This window comes from Homo sapiens, chromosome 8 (genome assembly GCF_000001405.40).
Source record: "Homo sapiens chromosome 8, GRCh38.p14 Primary Assembly".
Taxonomy (NCBI): domain Eukaryota; kingdom Metazoa; phylum Chordata; class Mammalia; order Primates; family Hominidae; genus Homo; species Homo sapiens.
The window spans coordinates 39,580,932-39,597,415 of NC_000008.11; the positions used below are offsets into that span (position 1 = coordinate 39,580,932).

A 16,484-nucleotide genomic window follows, 5' to 3' on the forward strand; every position below is an offset into this window, starting at 1 on the left:
TTTCTCTGTCCTTTGAGAAAACTCAAACTTGCTGCTCTATCTTCCCTGAAGTTGGGCATTTCTGGGTAAGATTTTCTTGCCTCGGTCTCCCCTCCCATCCGTCTCTTGCTAAGATGGGGGCACTTCTACATATCGCAGAGCATTACACATGGGTTAGGGATCCATCAGCCCACCTGGAGTCCAATTAGGACCTACAGAGTCTTCATCACAAACCAAGATGCTCCTTAGACAGGGGTGGAGGAACCTCACCACAGAGGTCCAGAGTTTCCTATTCCAAATATCCATCAACTGAAAAATGGGTAAACAAAATGTGGTATATCCAAACAATGGAATATTATTCAGCCCTAAAAAGGAATGAAGCACTGACACTGGTACAACATGATTGGTCCTTGAAACCATTATGCTAAGTGAATAAAGCCAGTCACAAACATCAGATATTTACATGTGTATTTGAAGAAGCCTCATTGTCTGGGGTAAGTACCAAGGTTCTCGGTCTCATGGCCAAGGAGATGGAGGTCGTGGACACACACACACAGACAAACACACAGACACACACACACACACACACACACACACACACACAGAGGGAATTTGGAGCAGGAGTTTAATAGACAAAAGGGAAGAACAGCTCTCTGTCTCAGAGAGGGGTCCCAAGCGGGTTGCCAAGTTGTCAGGGTTTTTATAAATGGGCTAGTGAGGACGGGGCTCGTGAGGAGGGGATGTCTTATCCTCCTAGGGCCAGATGGTTTGATTGAGAACAGGTGTGTTATCTGTATGGTGCAGAGTTTTTGTCAGTTCTCATCCCATTCCCTGCCCACATAGGCAGAATCTCAGTCTGTGTAACTTTGTTCTGCTTATCTGGGAGGGAGAGTTTCTGTGTCTGTTCCCAGACATCTTCCTGCATCCGCAGGCATCCCCCTGCCCCCACAAGTCTGCTTTTGGCTTCCCTATCTCAGTGTGCCTAAAGGGAAAGGAATGTGCTTATTAAAGCCCTCTGTTTTACTGGGGCCCATTGTGTAAGTGTGAAGTCTGGTGATTACCCAGGAGACCTTCCCCTTCTTTCTGTGTCCAAGCTGTTGATGTGTGATTTACAGCCTGAACTTTCAGCCTGCTTGTTGTTAGAAGAGAAGTGATTTCTTTGAACTGCCTGAGGTTAGAAAGGGAGGTATTTTTGAGCTGCTTTTTGTTAAAAGGAAAGATTTCTGCCAGGGACTCACTTTACCCTGTCTACCTAAATAATTTCTTTCTGCCTCCTATAACATATTCATTTGTATGAAAAGTCCAGAATAGAGACATCTCTTAAGATAGAAATTAGTTTAGTGGTTGTTTAGGGAGTAGAGGGGTGGGATAAAGAACTTGTTTTGGGGGTGGGAGGATACTTTATGGCTAATGGGCACAGAGTTTCTTCATGATGTGATGAAACTAATTTCAAATTGACTATAGTGATGTTCACACATATCTGAGAACATATTAAAAATCACTTAATTGTATGCTTTAAATGGGTAAATTGCATGGCATATGAATTATATCTCAATAAAGCTGTTTAAAAATACAACCTGGGATAAATTTACCAGAAAATATAACCTGGGATAATTCTACCAGATTTCTCTCATCTTCATTGCCACTAACTTATTTTGGGTCATTGTGCTCAATGGCCTGCTTCTTGTCAATAATAATTTTTGAGCTATCTGTTCAGGCGTACCAGCACTTAGCAGATCCAAGTTTTAGTCCTGATCAGTCTTATTTATTTTATTTGTTTTTTATTTTTTGAGATGGAGTTTTGCTCTTGTTGCCCACGCTGGAGTGCAATGGCACGATCTTGGCTCACTGCAACCTCTGCCTTTGGGGTTCAAGCAATTCTCCTGCCTCAGCCTTCCAAGTACCTGGGATTACAGGCGCCCACCACCACACCAGGGTAATTTTATATTTTTAGTAGAGATGGAGTTTCACCATGTTGGCCAGGCTGGTCTCGAACTCCTGACCTCAGGTGATCCACCCATCTTGGTCTCCCAAAGTGCTGGGATTACAGGCATGAGCCACCACTCCCGGCCCTGATCAGTTTTATTTTTGCACACAATTTTGCACACAATTTTTGCACACATATTTTGACACAATTCATCCCTGAAATAGGGGGTACTGGAGTAAAAGGCTTGAGTGTGATAGATGGGTTGGGTTTTGGACATGTGCCATTTAAGATATTTGTCAAAAAGTTAAGGGAGGCAGTTGCATAGTCTTCTACAGTGGTCTCAATTTTTCTCTCTCCCCTTGCCTTGCTGCCCTTCCTGTCTCCACAGTTTCTTACTTAGAGCTTAGAGTCACTGTTAACAAAACAGTCAGATTGCATTGTAAAGGTTTTCTTTTCCCTTAGAACACTATATTATAATCTTGTGTAGTAAGCAAGGTACACAGTTGAAGTAAAGTGCTTTCTGATTGTCTTTTCAAGATAAAGTTCCATTTTCTTGAATTCTCTTTATTTGCAAAAATAACACTAAATATTAAAGCTTTCCTTTCTCTTTCCTCCACTGATTATAATATAGTTTTATGAGAAAAATACACTGTTGAAGAAATGTGCTTTTTGATGGTCTTAGTGGGATCAACTCCATTTTCTTTTCTGCAAATTTATTTCAAATAATTTTGTGTATTTATAGGGTACAGCGTGATGTTTTGATCTATCTATACATTATAGAATGCTTCAGTCAAGCTAGTTAATATACCCATCTCCTCATCAATTTATCTTTTCTTTGTGGTGAGAACATTGAAAATAAATTTTAGCAATTTTGAAATATGCATTATTATTAACTGTGATCACCATGTAGTGCAAGAGATCATTAAAACTTATTCTTTCAGTCTGACTCATATTTTGTACCTTTAGATCAACATTTTCCCTTTCCCCATCCCTCATCCCACCTTCCCTGGCCTCTAGTAATCATCCTTCTATAAGATAGACTTTATTAGATTCCACATTCAAATGAGATCATACAGTATTTGTCTTTCTGTGCCTGGCATATTTCCCTTAGCATAACGTTCTCTGGTTCCATCCCTGTTGTTGCAAATGAATTTCCTTCGTTAAGGCTGTATACTATTCCACTGTGTATATTTACCACATTTTCTTTATTTACTCATTCCTCATTGACACTTAGGTTGATTCCATATCTTGGTTATCATGAATAACGGTGAAATCGTACCAGCATTAAAAAGTTCAATTTTCTTGATTTTTCCGTATTTGCAAAGATATTTAAGTCAGCAGTAGCATGTAGAAAATTGCTAGTAATAATAGCTAATAATAATAGCTGTTATTTCCCTTTTCCTCTTTCTCCTCCACCTTAGTAAATAAAACCTGCCATAAAACTGTGATATGGAGAAACAAAATTACCAACCTCACTAAAGAAAACCTCACTAAAAAGGAAAATCTAGCTTATTTACCCCAATGTAACTACTGAGGGCTTTAAACAACTTAAACGTCTCTGCAACAAATTTTGTGCAAACACCTATGCTTGCATCTGGCATTTCCCCTCCCCGCCCTGCGGAAGTGGCCCAGCTCTCAGAGCTCCTCAGACCTCACCCCCAGGGTCCTGGGGCAGCACAGGGTCCTCCCTGGCCCAGGCGCCCGGTGGCCGAGAGCCTGCCCGCGAGCTCAACGCTGCTCAACGGTCTCTGTCCTTGGCTGTGGCTCCTGCGCTCTGGCTGAGCCATGTTCCTTCTCCTCGCCCTCCTCACTGAGCTTGGAAGACTGCAAGCCCACGAAGGTAAGTCCATGGGAGCCTCCCCTTTCTTCTTCGACTTTATAGCTGGGCTGGGCTCTTACTGGGAGCAGTTTCTTGTCATTCTGGGACCCTCCCCCTCTCCCTTCTGGGATCCCATGCTGGTGCTTCTGGTGTGTCAGGGACACCTTTCCACGCCAGGCCAGGGGGAACTAAAGGCCTTAGCGGAGGACCTGTTAGCGCTCTGCATCAGCGCCCATGGTCTCAGTGGCCCACACGCAGTGCGTCTTCTGGCATCTTCCCACTCTGTGAAGGAGGGTGGAGGTGGTGGAGTACTAACTGCCTTCAGCGAACTCCTCAGAGTCCTGAGGAAGCAAGTCTCTCATCGATTCTAAAAGGGAACCAGAGGGGCCTGTAGAACTGCAATGTCTAATTTTTTTTTCTTTTTTTGTGTCTTAGCCATTTTCAATGTGCTGTTGATTATGTAGTGAAATTTGTGGACTAGAAAGAGTGTGAGCACATGAGAGAACTTCTACTTAAAATTTTAGGCGCCACCATGCAGTCCGGGATAAGAACCCGTGCTTGACTGAGACGATTGTTGATGCAAAACAAAGACAAAAACAAACACATTTTCTTACTGCAGGTTCTGAAGGAATATTTCTGCATGTCACAGTTCCACGGAAGATTAAGTCAAATGACAGTGAAGTTTCAGAGAGGAAGGTAAATGATGAGGAATATTTATTCTATATTTAAAGCTTTATGGCAATTTTTATTTACCCTTATATTAAGTCAGATCATACTAATTTGTATTCATTGCCAAATCATAATATTTTGCCTGTGCTATTTTGTCTCCTACCGTGTTTTGATCCTCTTGTTCCCCCATTTCTGCTGCTTATTTCCCTGTCTTTTCTCTTCATCTCTTCTTAACATACTACTTGTTCACAATTTCCAAGAAATGCTCAGCAATCAAACTGGTGGGAAAAAGAAATCAATATAAAATATTCATGACCATGGTTCAGCCAACAAATTAACAAATTTTTTATTGTCCAGTAAATGATGTAGAAATTTGTCATAAGTAAAATTTAGACATGCAAAATTTGACCCACAAGCATCAGTCTTAATAGCACGTAATGTACAAAGAAATTTTAAAAAAGCAAAGAAAAAATAAAAATATCACATTTGCCCTATTATGATGAAAAATATTACAATAAGTAAATATTAACTGGAAAAAGAAGTTGGAAAATTACTAACCTGCCTGCTAGATTAAAAACTGATTAAACTGAAGGCATTCAGTCTTGCATGTTTTCTTGATTGAAACACCTGAAATTGACAGATTTAAAATGTTTTATTTTACAAACTGGAAGTCACAATATAGGGGTTTATATTTCTATGCAGTCAAAATGGGCACAATATATGTCAACTCTGAAAATGTTTCAGGTTGAAAGAGTGATTTTAAAATTATGAGTAAGGAAAAGATTAATCTATTAATTCTATTTTGGCACACAATATTGGGACCTACCATGGCTATGTTCTACTAGTGAACAATTATAATAAAGTATATGTCAAATTATGTTTGGGAATCACAATAAAATGAATACTTTCTTTTAGAGAAGTTGGAAAGGATTTTCATATATAAATCTTATTTATCACATTATCCTTCTGAAATAGGATTATTTATTACATATATTCTTTTTAAAAGACAGAGGATTAAAAAATATTAATGGCATCAAATCTGTGTTAGCATGTAGAGTCTAATCTTTAATTTTTAACTCCATTTCCACTACAGTAAGCTGCTTTCTGTTGAAGAATTATTTGCATAAGTTATTTTCTGCCAACACAATCCCATCCCAACACTTTGGGATCCCAAGGTTGGAGGATCGCTTGAGCCTAGGAGTTTGAGGCTGGCTTGGGCAAGTTGGTGAGACCCCATCTCTACAAAAATAACTTAACTGGGTGTGGTGGTGTGTGCCTGTAGTCCCAGCTGTTCTGGAGGCTGAGGTGGGAGTACCCCTTGAGCCCAGCGGTTGGAGGCTGCAGTCAGCTGTGATTGTGTCACTGTACTCCAGCCTGGATGACAGAGCAAGACTTCATCTCTTAAAAACAAAAAACAAACAAACAAAAAACTATCTATCTATCTATCTATCTATCTATCTATCTATCTATCTATCTATATCTATCTATCTATCATCTATTCTGTTTTTTCCCCAGATTTACTACTATTGTACATTGTCATTGCATAATCACTGTAAACTTCAAATTTCTTACTACTTGTCAAGAAGCATATAGCAACTACGCAGGGCTTGATGAAATAGTTTTACTATGAGAGACATGCAGTATTCATTCGTTGTCTACACTTTTGGTATTATTTATATGGAATTCTTGAAGCTATATTTTATTGTATAGGGTATTATTTTCATGTTTTTAAAACTTTATTGAGTTATAATTGATATAAAAATTGCACATATCTAACGTAGACATTTTCCTGAGTTTGAATATATGCATACACCCATGATATCATGACCACAGTCGATGTACTAAACATATCCATCACCTCCAAAAATGTCCTTGCATACTTTTGTTTTGTGTTTTGTGCTAAGAATGCTGAACATGAGAATGATTCTCTTAACATATTTTCAAGTGCACAATGGTGTATCGTTAACTATAGGTACTATGTTATACAGCATATCTCTAGAACTTATTCATCTTTCATTACTGGAACTTTGTATTCATTGAGCAATAATTCCCTATTTCTCTCGACCCAGACCCCTGGCAACCACTATTCTATTCTCTGCTTTTATGATTTCCACTGTTTTATTTTATTTATTTGTTTGAGATGGAGTTTTGCTCTGTTGCCCAGGCTGGAGTGCAGTGGTGTGATCTTGGCTCACTGAAACCTCTGCCTCCTGGGCTCAAGCAATTCTTGTTCTTCACCCTCCTGAGTGGCTGGGATTACAGGTGCATGCCACCACACCTGGATAATTTTGTATTTTTTTAGTAGAGATGGAGTTTCCCCATGTTGGCCAAGCTGGTCTTGAACTCCTGAACTCAAGTGATACACCAGACTCGGCCTCCCAAAGTGCTGGCATTACAGGCGTTAGCCACCACACCCACCTATTTTAGCTATTTTAGATTCCTCATATAAGTAAGTGGAATCATATAGTGTTTGTCCTTCTGTGACTGTCTCATTTAACATAACATAATGTTCTGTGGGTTCATTCACGTCTCAAATAGGATTTCCTTCTTTTTTGAAGCTAAATAGTGTTCCAATATGTTTATATGCCACATTTTCTTTATGCATTCATGTCATTGAACATTTGGGTTGCTTCCAAACCACGAATATTGTGAATAATGTTGGAATTAACATGGGGCTGCAGATATCTCTTCAATTTCATGGCTTTAATTTTTTTGGATATGTAGCCAGAAGTTGCATTGCTGGATTATATGGTAGTTCTATTTTTAATTTTTTGTGGAACCTCCATACTGGTTTTCATAATGGCTGCACCATTCTCCATTCCCACCAATAGTGTACAAAGATTCCAACTTCTCCACATCTTTGCCAGTGCTTGTCACCTTTTGCTTTTGTTTGTGGGTGTGGGTTTTTTTTTTTTTTTTTAACAAAACCCATTATAATAGCTGTGAGGTGATATTTCACTGTGGTTTTGATCCTGCATTTTTCTGATGATTAATGATATTGAGTACTATTTCTTATACCTGATGGTCATTTGTATGTTTTCTTTGGACAGAAGTTTATTCAGGTCCTTTGCCCATTGTTTAATCAGGTTATTTGTTTTGTTTTGTTTTTGGCTGTTGAGTTGTAGAAGGTCCTTTTGACATTTTGGATATTAGCTCTTTGTCATATAGATCATTTGAAATATATTCTTCTATTCCATAAAACAATGGCTTAAATTTTAGGATATTACAGGAACTATGAAGAAGGTTTCAAACTTTCTGTTTTATCTAAGTATACATATGGAAGCCATAGTGCCATTGTTGGTTCAACACTGGGAAACAACTCTCCAGTTGGGGAGAGCTGACCTCAGTTGGGATGTGTTTATTTCCTGCTATCAATGCCTTCTTGCCAAAGACCATTGCAAGCACGCCTGCAATTGAACAAGTGAGGATTATTACACACTGCAGTGAGGGAGAATGCACACCTTGGGGAGCCATGGAGCATCTCTTTAGGAGGTTGTTAAAGTACTTATAAGATTTTGGCTTGTGTTTTGGGAATTTGGGGGAAGTTTTAGGATGCGTGCCTTTGTTCTGGTTTAGATATGGTCAGGAAGTAGGCATAATACTATGATTGTGTATCTTAGTAAGTCTTATCTAGGGCACGGGAAGACCAGAACATTCCTAAATCTGTCATTAGTTAAGAAGCAGCAGCCATTCATGCTAGCCCAATAAGGGCATATTCAATCTTTCTGTTTTTTTGGCTTGGGAGGGCTTACATTTAGTTGGTGTTCACACATGATTATGAAGTAGTCTTGGTTTTGTCTTGATGCATAATTGTCTCACAGTGGTCCTGTGTTACGTTGATGTCCTTTTAAAGTGCTTATATTCAACAGCAGAATTCCAAGTCTAGCTGATAGTGCCAAGCCAACTCCTTAATGTTACTGGCTGCTTTCCCCTTTCTTATTCTTTATGTGATTAATTTATGTTAGGCACATTATATCTTACTCAGACTATAGCCAGAAGCAAGCATTGGAATCATAAATGTCTGCACAAGACATATATATATATACTTCATAATGAATTAAGTTGTCATGGTAAGGTTGAGAAGAACCATCTATGCAGAGTATCTATTCCAAATGACTGTTGTTTATAGCTATTAATATAGAGAATATAAGAATATATGTAAGTACATATTGTGTATAAATTATGTATGATTATGTGTATGTTATGTATATCAAGATGTATGTATATCTTCCTTGACATGCGTATTTTACACACACAAACATGTCAATGATTGTGTACACACATGAAGAAATATATATATAAATATATACACCAACATGGGTGTATGTATGTATATATTTATTATTAATATTTTTATTAGAAATAATTTTTAATTACTAATTTTGTAACATGTTTAAAAATTTTAAACTTTCATTTTAAGTACTCCTGAGTCATATTCTACACTTTTTATTCATTTTTCAATATTTTAAAATGAATGCCATTTATGCAGCCAAAATACACATGAAAAAATGCTCATCATCACTGGCCATCAGAGAAATGCAAATCAAAACCACAATGAGATACCATCTCACACCAGTTAGAATGGCAGTCATTAAAAAGTCAGGAAACAACAGGTGCTGGAGAGGATGTGGAGAAATAGGAGCACTTTTACACTGTTGGTGGGACTGTAAACTAGTTCAACCATTGTGGAAGTCAGTGTGGCAATTCCTCAGGGATCTAGAACTAGAAATACCATTTGACCCAGCCATCCCATTACTGGGTATATACCCAAAGGACTATAAATCATGCTGCTATAAAGACACATGCACACGTATGTTTATTGTGGCATTATTCACAATAGCAAAGACTTGGAACCAACCCGAATGTCCAACAATGATAGACTGGATTAAGAAAATGTGGCACATATACACCATGGAATACTATGCAGCCATAAAAAATGATGAGTTCATGTCCTTTGTGGGGACATGGATGAAATTGGAAATCATCATTCTCAGTAAACTATCGCAAGAACAAAAAACCAAACACCGCATATTCTCACTCATAGGTGGGAATTGAGCAATGAGATCACATGGACACAGGAAGGGCAACATCACACTCTGGGGACTGTTGTCGGGTGAGGGGAGAGGGGAGGGATAGCATTGGGAGATCTACCTAATGCTAGATGACAAGTTAGTGGGTGCAGCGCACCAGCATGGCACATGTATACATATGTAACTAACCTGCACAATGTGCACATGTACCCTAAAACTTAAAGTGTAATAAAAAATAAAATAAAATAAAAAAAATAAAATGAATGCTATCATTCCTTTTGGCTCAAGTATTTTGGGAAGAGGACATTTTGCCTTTAATTTCCAAAATAAATTTTTTCTAGATTTTCTTTTTTAAACTAAAATAACATTTTACATTGATAAATAATACATATATCTCAATGAATTTTCACAAAGTAGACACACCTCCAAAATTAGCACTCGATTCAGAAATAGAACATAAGAGCAAGTCACAAACTCTCTCATGATTCCTTCTGGTTATTTTCCTGTTTATTTTGACTTATAATACTTTTGCTTATTATTGTTCAAAACTGAAAGTTCCAGGCATGTCTTGGAGATATTGCAGGTTTGGTTCTAGACTACCAAACTAAAGTAAGTCACACAAACTGGTATCCCAGTGCATACCAAACTTATGTTTGGTATACTATATACTATAGTTTATTAAGTGTGCAATAGTGCTATGGCTAAAAATAACATTGTATAAACCTTAATTTAAAACACTTTATTACTAAAAAATTGTAACTATCATCTGAATTTTCAGTGAGTTGTAATCTTTTGCTGGTTACAATCAGGCCTTGTCTGATGTTGATGGCTGCTGACTGATCAGGGTGGTGGTTGAAGGTTGGGGTGGCTGTGCCAATTTCTTAAAATAAGACAATGATGAAGTTTGCTGTGTCGGTTGACTCTTCCTTTCATGAAAGATTTCTCTATAGTATGCAATGCTGTTTGATAGCATTTTACCCACAGTAGAACTTATTTTAAAATTGGACTCAATCTTCTCCAACCCTGCCACTGCTTTATCAACTAAGTTTATGTAATTTTGTAAACTCTTTTTTTGTAATTTTAACAGTATTCACAGCATCTTTACTAGGAGTAGATTCCATCTCAGGAAACCAACTTCTTTGCTCACCCGTGAGAAGTAACTCCTCATCGATTCAAGTTTTATTATGAGATAGCAAAATTTCAGTCATATCTTCAGCCTCCACTCCTAATTCTAGTTCTCTTGCCATTTCTACCACATCTGTAGTTATTTTCTCCACTAAATTCTTGAATCCCTCAAAGTCATTCATGAGAGCTGTAATTAACTTTTTCTGAATTCCTGTTAGTGTTGATATCTTAACCTCTTTCCATGAATCGTGAATTGTCTTAATGACATGTAGAATGGTGAATTCTTTTCATACTTTTTCAATAGACTTTGCCCAGATCCAACAGAGGAATCACTATTTATGGCAGCTATAGCCTTACAAAATGTATTTCTTAAGTAATAAGACTTGAAAGTCAAAATAGCTCCTTGACTGGGCTGCAGAATGGACGCTGTGTTCGCAGGCAGGAAAACAGCCTTAATTTCCTTGCACATCTCCGTTAGAGCTCCTAGGTGACCAGGTACATTGTCAATGAGCAGTAATATTTTGAAAATAATCTTTTTTTCTGAGCAGTAGGTCTCAACAGTCAGCTTCAAATATTTAGTAAACCATATTATAGTTATACTATCATCCAGACTTTGTTGTTACATTTCTCATCACAGGCATAAGTACATTTAGCATAATTCTTAAGGGCCCTAGCATTGTTAGAACGGTCACTGAGTATCAGCTTCAATTTAAAGTCACCAGCTGTAATAAGCATTAACAAGAGAGTCAGCTCGTCTTTTAAAGCTAGACATTAAGATTGGGTAGAATGATAGTTCTATTTTTAGTTTTTTGATGTTTGACCCAGCAATTTCACTAACTGGTATCTAAATACCCATTTTACATTGATAAAAAAAGGAATATAGATCATTTTAAAAAGACACCTGCACTTGTATGTTTATTGCAGCACTATTCACCATAACAAAGTCATGGAACCAATCTAAATGTCCACCAACAGTTCACTGGATAAATAAAAGGTGGTATATATACACCATGGAATATTATGCAGCCATAAAAAAGAATGAAATCATGTCTGCTCTAGCAACATGGAGGAACTGGAGGCCATTATCCTATGTGGAATAACCCAGAAGTAAAAAAATAAAATATTACATGTTCTCATTTATAAGTGGGAGCTAAATAAATGGTACAGTTGGACATAAAATGATGAAGAAAATAGACTCTGGGGACTCCAAAATGGGGGATGGGGACAGAATACCTACTGGGAACAATGTCCAATATTTGAGTGATGGGTACACTAGAAGCCCAACCCCCAGCATCATGCATGTAATTCCCATGTAACAATCAAGCACGTGTACCCCTGAATCTAAAATAACAATTTAAAAAGTGCTATGCATGGATTTCCCCTCTCTAGCTATGAAAGTCTCTAGCTGAGTCCTAGATGGTGTATTCTTCCAGTAGAAGGCTGTTTTATCTACACTGAAAATCTGTTGTTTAGTAGAGCGGTCTTCATCAATTATCTTAGCTAGATCTTACAGATCACTTGTTTCAGCTTCTGTATTGGGACTTGCTGCATCACCTTGCATTTTTGTTATGGAGATATCTTCTTAAATCTCATGAACCAACCTCTGTTAGCTTCACTCTTTTCTTCTTCACTTTCTTTTCATTTTCAGTCTTCATAGAAATGAAGAAAGTTAGGACTTTTTTCCAGATTAAGCTTTAGCTTAAGGGAATGTTACGGCTGGTTTGATTGTCTATCCAGACGATGAAACCTTCTCCATATCAGCAATAGCTTGTTTGCTTTTATGTTATGGGGCCATTGATTTTTATTCTTGAGTAATGTTGCTAAAATGTCCATACTACCCAAAGCAATAGGCAGATTCAGTGCAATCCCAATCAAAATTCCAATGGCATTCGTCACAGAAATACAAAATACAATGCTAAATTTTGTGTGGAACCACAAAATAACCTCGAGTAGCCAAAGCAATACTGAGGAAAAAAGTTAGAGGCATCATACTTCCTGATTTAAAATTATATTTAAAAAACATAATATTCAAAACAGTATGGTTTTGTCATAAAAAAAAAATCAGACATGTAGACCAATAGAAGAGAACAGAGAGCCCAGAAATGAATCCAAACATATACAGTCAACAGATTTTCCACAAGTTCACCAAAAGGATACAATGGGGAAGGATAGTCGAAAGACTATCTTCTGTCAGGTTTTGCTTCTTATATTTTGCAGTTCTGTCTTTTGGGGCATACCCATTTAGGATTATTACATCTTGCTGGATTGATACCCTTTATCATTATATAATGCCTTTCTCATTCTCTGATAAATATCTTTGCATTATTTGATACTAATATAACAATTTCTACTTTCCTTTGATTTATGTTTACATGATAAGTTTTCTTCAATATTATTGCTTTCAGCCAGCCTAGGCAATTGTCTTTGATGTGAAATTATTTTTAACAGAATATAGCTTTGTCAATTTTTAAATCCAGTCAATCTGTAATTTTGCCTATTCATATCATTTATATTTAACGTCACCATTGGTGTTACATCTACCAAGTAATTTTTTGTTTTGCTTTTAATTTTTATTTTCTTTTTCATGCTTATGTATAAATTACCAGAATAACATAGTTTTTTGCTGTGGGGTTGGTTCAAGAATATATACTTGTAGAGCTCTTTTAGTGGTTACTTTAGATATTACATTACATGTACGTAACTTTTCACAGCCTACTGTCATCATTTCACCAGGTTAAGCAAACTATTTAAACCTTAATGTGTTTCTAAATATATGTTGAGGAAATATTTAAGGCAATTATAAATGGGCTAAAGTAAAGGAACACAAAGAAATAAGTGTAATAATTTTTGCCTCAATCTTCAAATTAATTTGGAAAACTCAATATGAAAAGGTAAACTTTTGTAATTACCCATACTTTCCCCTCTATGTTTTTTGTTCATTCTGGGTGTTTCAATCCTTCCTCTTTTATTTTTCCTTTTTTGTTTAGAGAAATTTATTTAGTCGTTTTCTTAGTGTAGGTTTGTATGAGACAAATTCTCTTAGTTTCCTGATCTGAGAATGTCTTGATTATCTCTTCATTTATGAAGGATATTTTAAAGTGGATTTTCATAGAATTCTAGATTTATGGGTCTTTTTTTTCATCGTATTTATGTTACGACATTTCCTTTGATCTTCATGTCTTCTTATGAGAAATTTGCTGTCATTTGTTTTTTTTTCCCTAATGGGTAAGTTGTCATTTCTTTCATTACTTTCAAGATTTTAAAAATTTCCTTTAGTTTTCAGAAATTGAACTATGATGCATTTTGCTGTGAGTTTTTTTTTTTTTTTTTTTTTTTGGTAATTGTTTCCTTTGTAGTCTCAATAGTTTCTAGCTTCTTAAATCAATAGGTTTATGATTTTGTCAAATTTGGTAAATTTTCACCCGCTATTTCTTGTGAGTACCTTTTCAACTGTAGCCTCCGTCTCTATTTGGGATTCTAATGACACTGGTAGAATTTTTGTTATAGTACCCTAGGTCCCCGAAGCTCTGTGCATTTTTTGTCATTTTCTGGTAGAATTTTTGTTATAGTACCCTAGGTCCCTGAAGCTCTGTGCATTTTTTATCATTTCCTCTCTACATTTTTTGTAAGTTTCCTCAATTTTCAGATTGGATAATTTCTATTATTCTGTCTCCCATTTCAGTATTTTCTCCCCTAACCCCATGCTGTGGTTGAGCCCTTCCACTTAGATTTTTATTTTGGTAACTTTGTTTTCATGTGTTATTCATTGTACCTAACTGGAATCCTGAATAGGTGAAGCACAGGGCTGACTTTCACTGCCATGGAGGTGGTGCTTCATCACTACAAGGAGGGACTGCAATCTCAGCTCTACACTGGACCCTGTTGACACTGTGCCTGTTGGTAGTTCCAGGTTGCTGTCTTCTCCAGCAAACCATTTACAAGCATGGGAGTCAAAAGAAAACCAGTGAACTGTTTTTATTTTTTATTTTTATTTTTTTAAATATGTATTTATTTGTTTATTTTGAGATGGAGATTCACTCTGGCTGGATTCACTCCAGGAGATTCACTCTGGAAATTCACTCCAGGCTGGAGTACAGTGGCATGATCTCAGCTCACTGTAACCTCTGCCTCAGAGGTTTCAAGAGATTCTCCTGCCTCAGCCTCCCAAATAGCTGGGATTAGAGGTGCACACCACCATACCTGGCTAATTTTTTTGTATTTTTAGTGGAGATGGGGTTTCACCATGTTGGCCAGGCTGGTTTCAAACTCTTGACCTCAAGTGATCCACCCACCTCGGCCTCCCAAAGTGCTGGGATTGCAGGAGTGAGCCACCATGCCCGGCCTGAACTAGTTATTGCTCAAGTCCTTATATCACTGGTTAGTCTGCCTTCTTGTTTCCATTTCTCCAAAATTTTTTATTTTTATTTTTCAATTATATTCCCAGGATTTCTTAGCTTTAAGAGGGAAGAACTTGGAAGAATGAGGCTATTCCATTTTGGCTGGAACCAGAAATCTGATCTTATCCATTTTTAATTTCAAGAATTTCTAAAATAAACTGTGTGTGTGGTGTTTTTTTAGAGCAATATTAGGTTCAGAGAAAAGATGAGAAGAAAGTACAGAATCTTTCAGCTTACCACTGTCCTTATGGATGTGCGGCCTCGCTGACTATCAGATCTCAGATGTTTGTTTCAATTAACAAATCTATATTGACACATCATCACTCAAAATTTCATAGTATACATTAGTGCTGTGTACCATGTGGGTTTGAACAAATGTATAATGACATGTATCCACTAATAGTATCATACAGAATAAGTTCACTGTTCTAAAACTCCTTTGTGCTCTACCTAATCATCCCTCCCCACCAACCAAATCCTTGACATTTACTTATTCTTTTACAGTCTCTATAGTTTGGCCTTTTCCAGAGTGTGTTATAATTGGAATCTTGAAGTATGTAGCCTTTTCAGATGGCTTTTCTTCCCACTTAGTATGCATTTAAGATTCTTTTATGTCTTTTAATGGTTTGATAGTTCATTTCTATCACTGAATAATAATCTATTGTCTGCTGTACCACAGTTTATTTATGTATACCTACTGAAGGATGTGTTGGCTGCTTCTAAGATTTGGCAGCTATGAATTAAGCTGCCATAAATATTTCTGTATAGATATTTGTATGGACATAAGTTTTCAGCTCTTTTCAGTAAATACCAAGGAACACAATTGCTGGATTATATGGTAAGAGTATGTGTAGTATTGTAAGAAACTGCCAGCTTATCCTCCAAAGCTGATCTATTATTTTGCATTTCTACAAACGAAGAATAAGAGTTCCTGTGGCTCCTCATCTTTACTTCAATTGGGGTTGTCAGTGTTTGCGTTTTGACTATTCAAATCAATGTGTAATAATATTTTATTTTTAATTTGCAATTCCTTAATAATGTATAAGGATTAATTTTTTTAGAGCAGTATTAGGTTCAGAGAAAAGATTAGAAGAAAGTACAGAATCTTTCAATATACCACTGTCCTTATGGATGCACAGCCTCCCTGACTATCAGGTCTCATGTTTGTTTGACATATGTCTTATTTGCTTGACATATATCTTATTTGATGAGATGTCTGTTTAGGTTTTTGTCTCTTTTTAAAGTCTGACTGTTCATTTTATTATTGTTGAGTTTTAGGAGTTGTTTAGATATTTTGGTCCTTTATCATATAGGCCTTTTGCAAATATTTTCTTTTAATCTGTGGTTTATCTCTTCATATACTTGACAGTGTCTTTCACAGAGAAGAAATTTTCAGTTTTAATTAAATCCAGTTTATCAATTATTTATTCATGGATCATGCCTCTGGGGTTGTACTAAAAAGTCACTGCCATAGCTAAGGTCACCTAGATTTTCTCCTGTGTTCTCTTCAAGTAGTTTTATAGTTGTGTATTTTACAT

General features: G+C 36.7%; 1 protein-coding gene across 4 annotated transcripts in view, besides 1 other annotated feature; it reads left to right on the top strand.

Moving 5' to 3' along the window:
* Positions 1 to 3,636: 3,636 nt before the first annotated feature.
* The window catches only part of ADAM18 (ADAM metallopeptidase domain 18), a 145,498-nt gene continuing 132,650 nt past the window's right edge, over positions 3,637 to 16,484 (top strand). For all 4 annotated transcript variants that reach the window (NR_135201.2, NM_014237.3, NM_001320313.2 and 1 more), the window contains exons 1-2: positions 3,637 to 3,746; positions 4,345 to 4,421. Coding sequence is in view for 3 of the 4 variants with exons in the window: in NM_014237.3 (NP_055052.1) it covers positions 3,692 to 3,746; positions 4,345 to 4,421 (132 nt within the window). In the remaining variant the exon portion in view is untranslated. The remainder of the gene's footprint in view (positions 3,747 to 4,344; positions 4,422 to 16,484) is intronic.
* Positions 3,803 to 4,302: an enhancer, noted in NCBI's record as "H3K4me1 hESC enhancer chr8:39442253-39442752 (GRCh37/hg19 assembly coordinates)". NCBI's record gives its function as "activates a minimal SCP1, AML or CMV promoter by ChIP-STARR-seq in primed H9 embryonic stem cells {active_cell/tissue: H9 hESC(primed)}" and the evidence as "EXISTENCE:reporter gene assay evidence [ECO:0000049][PMID:30033119]".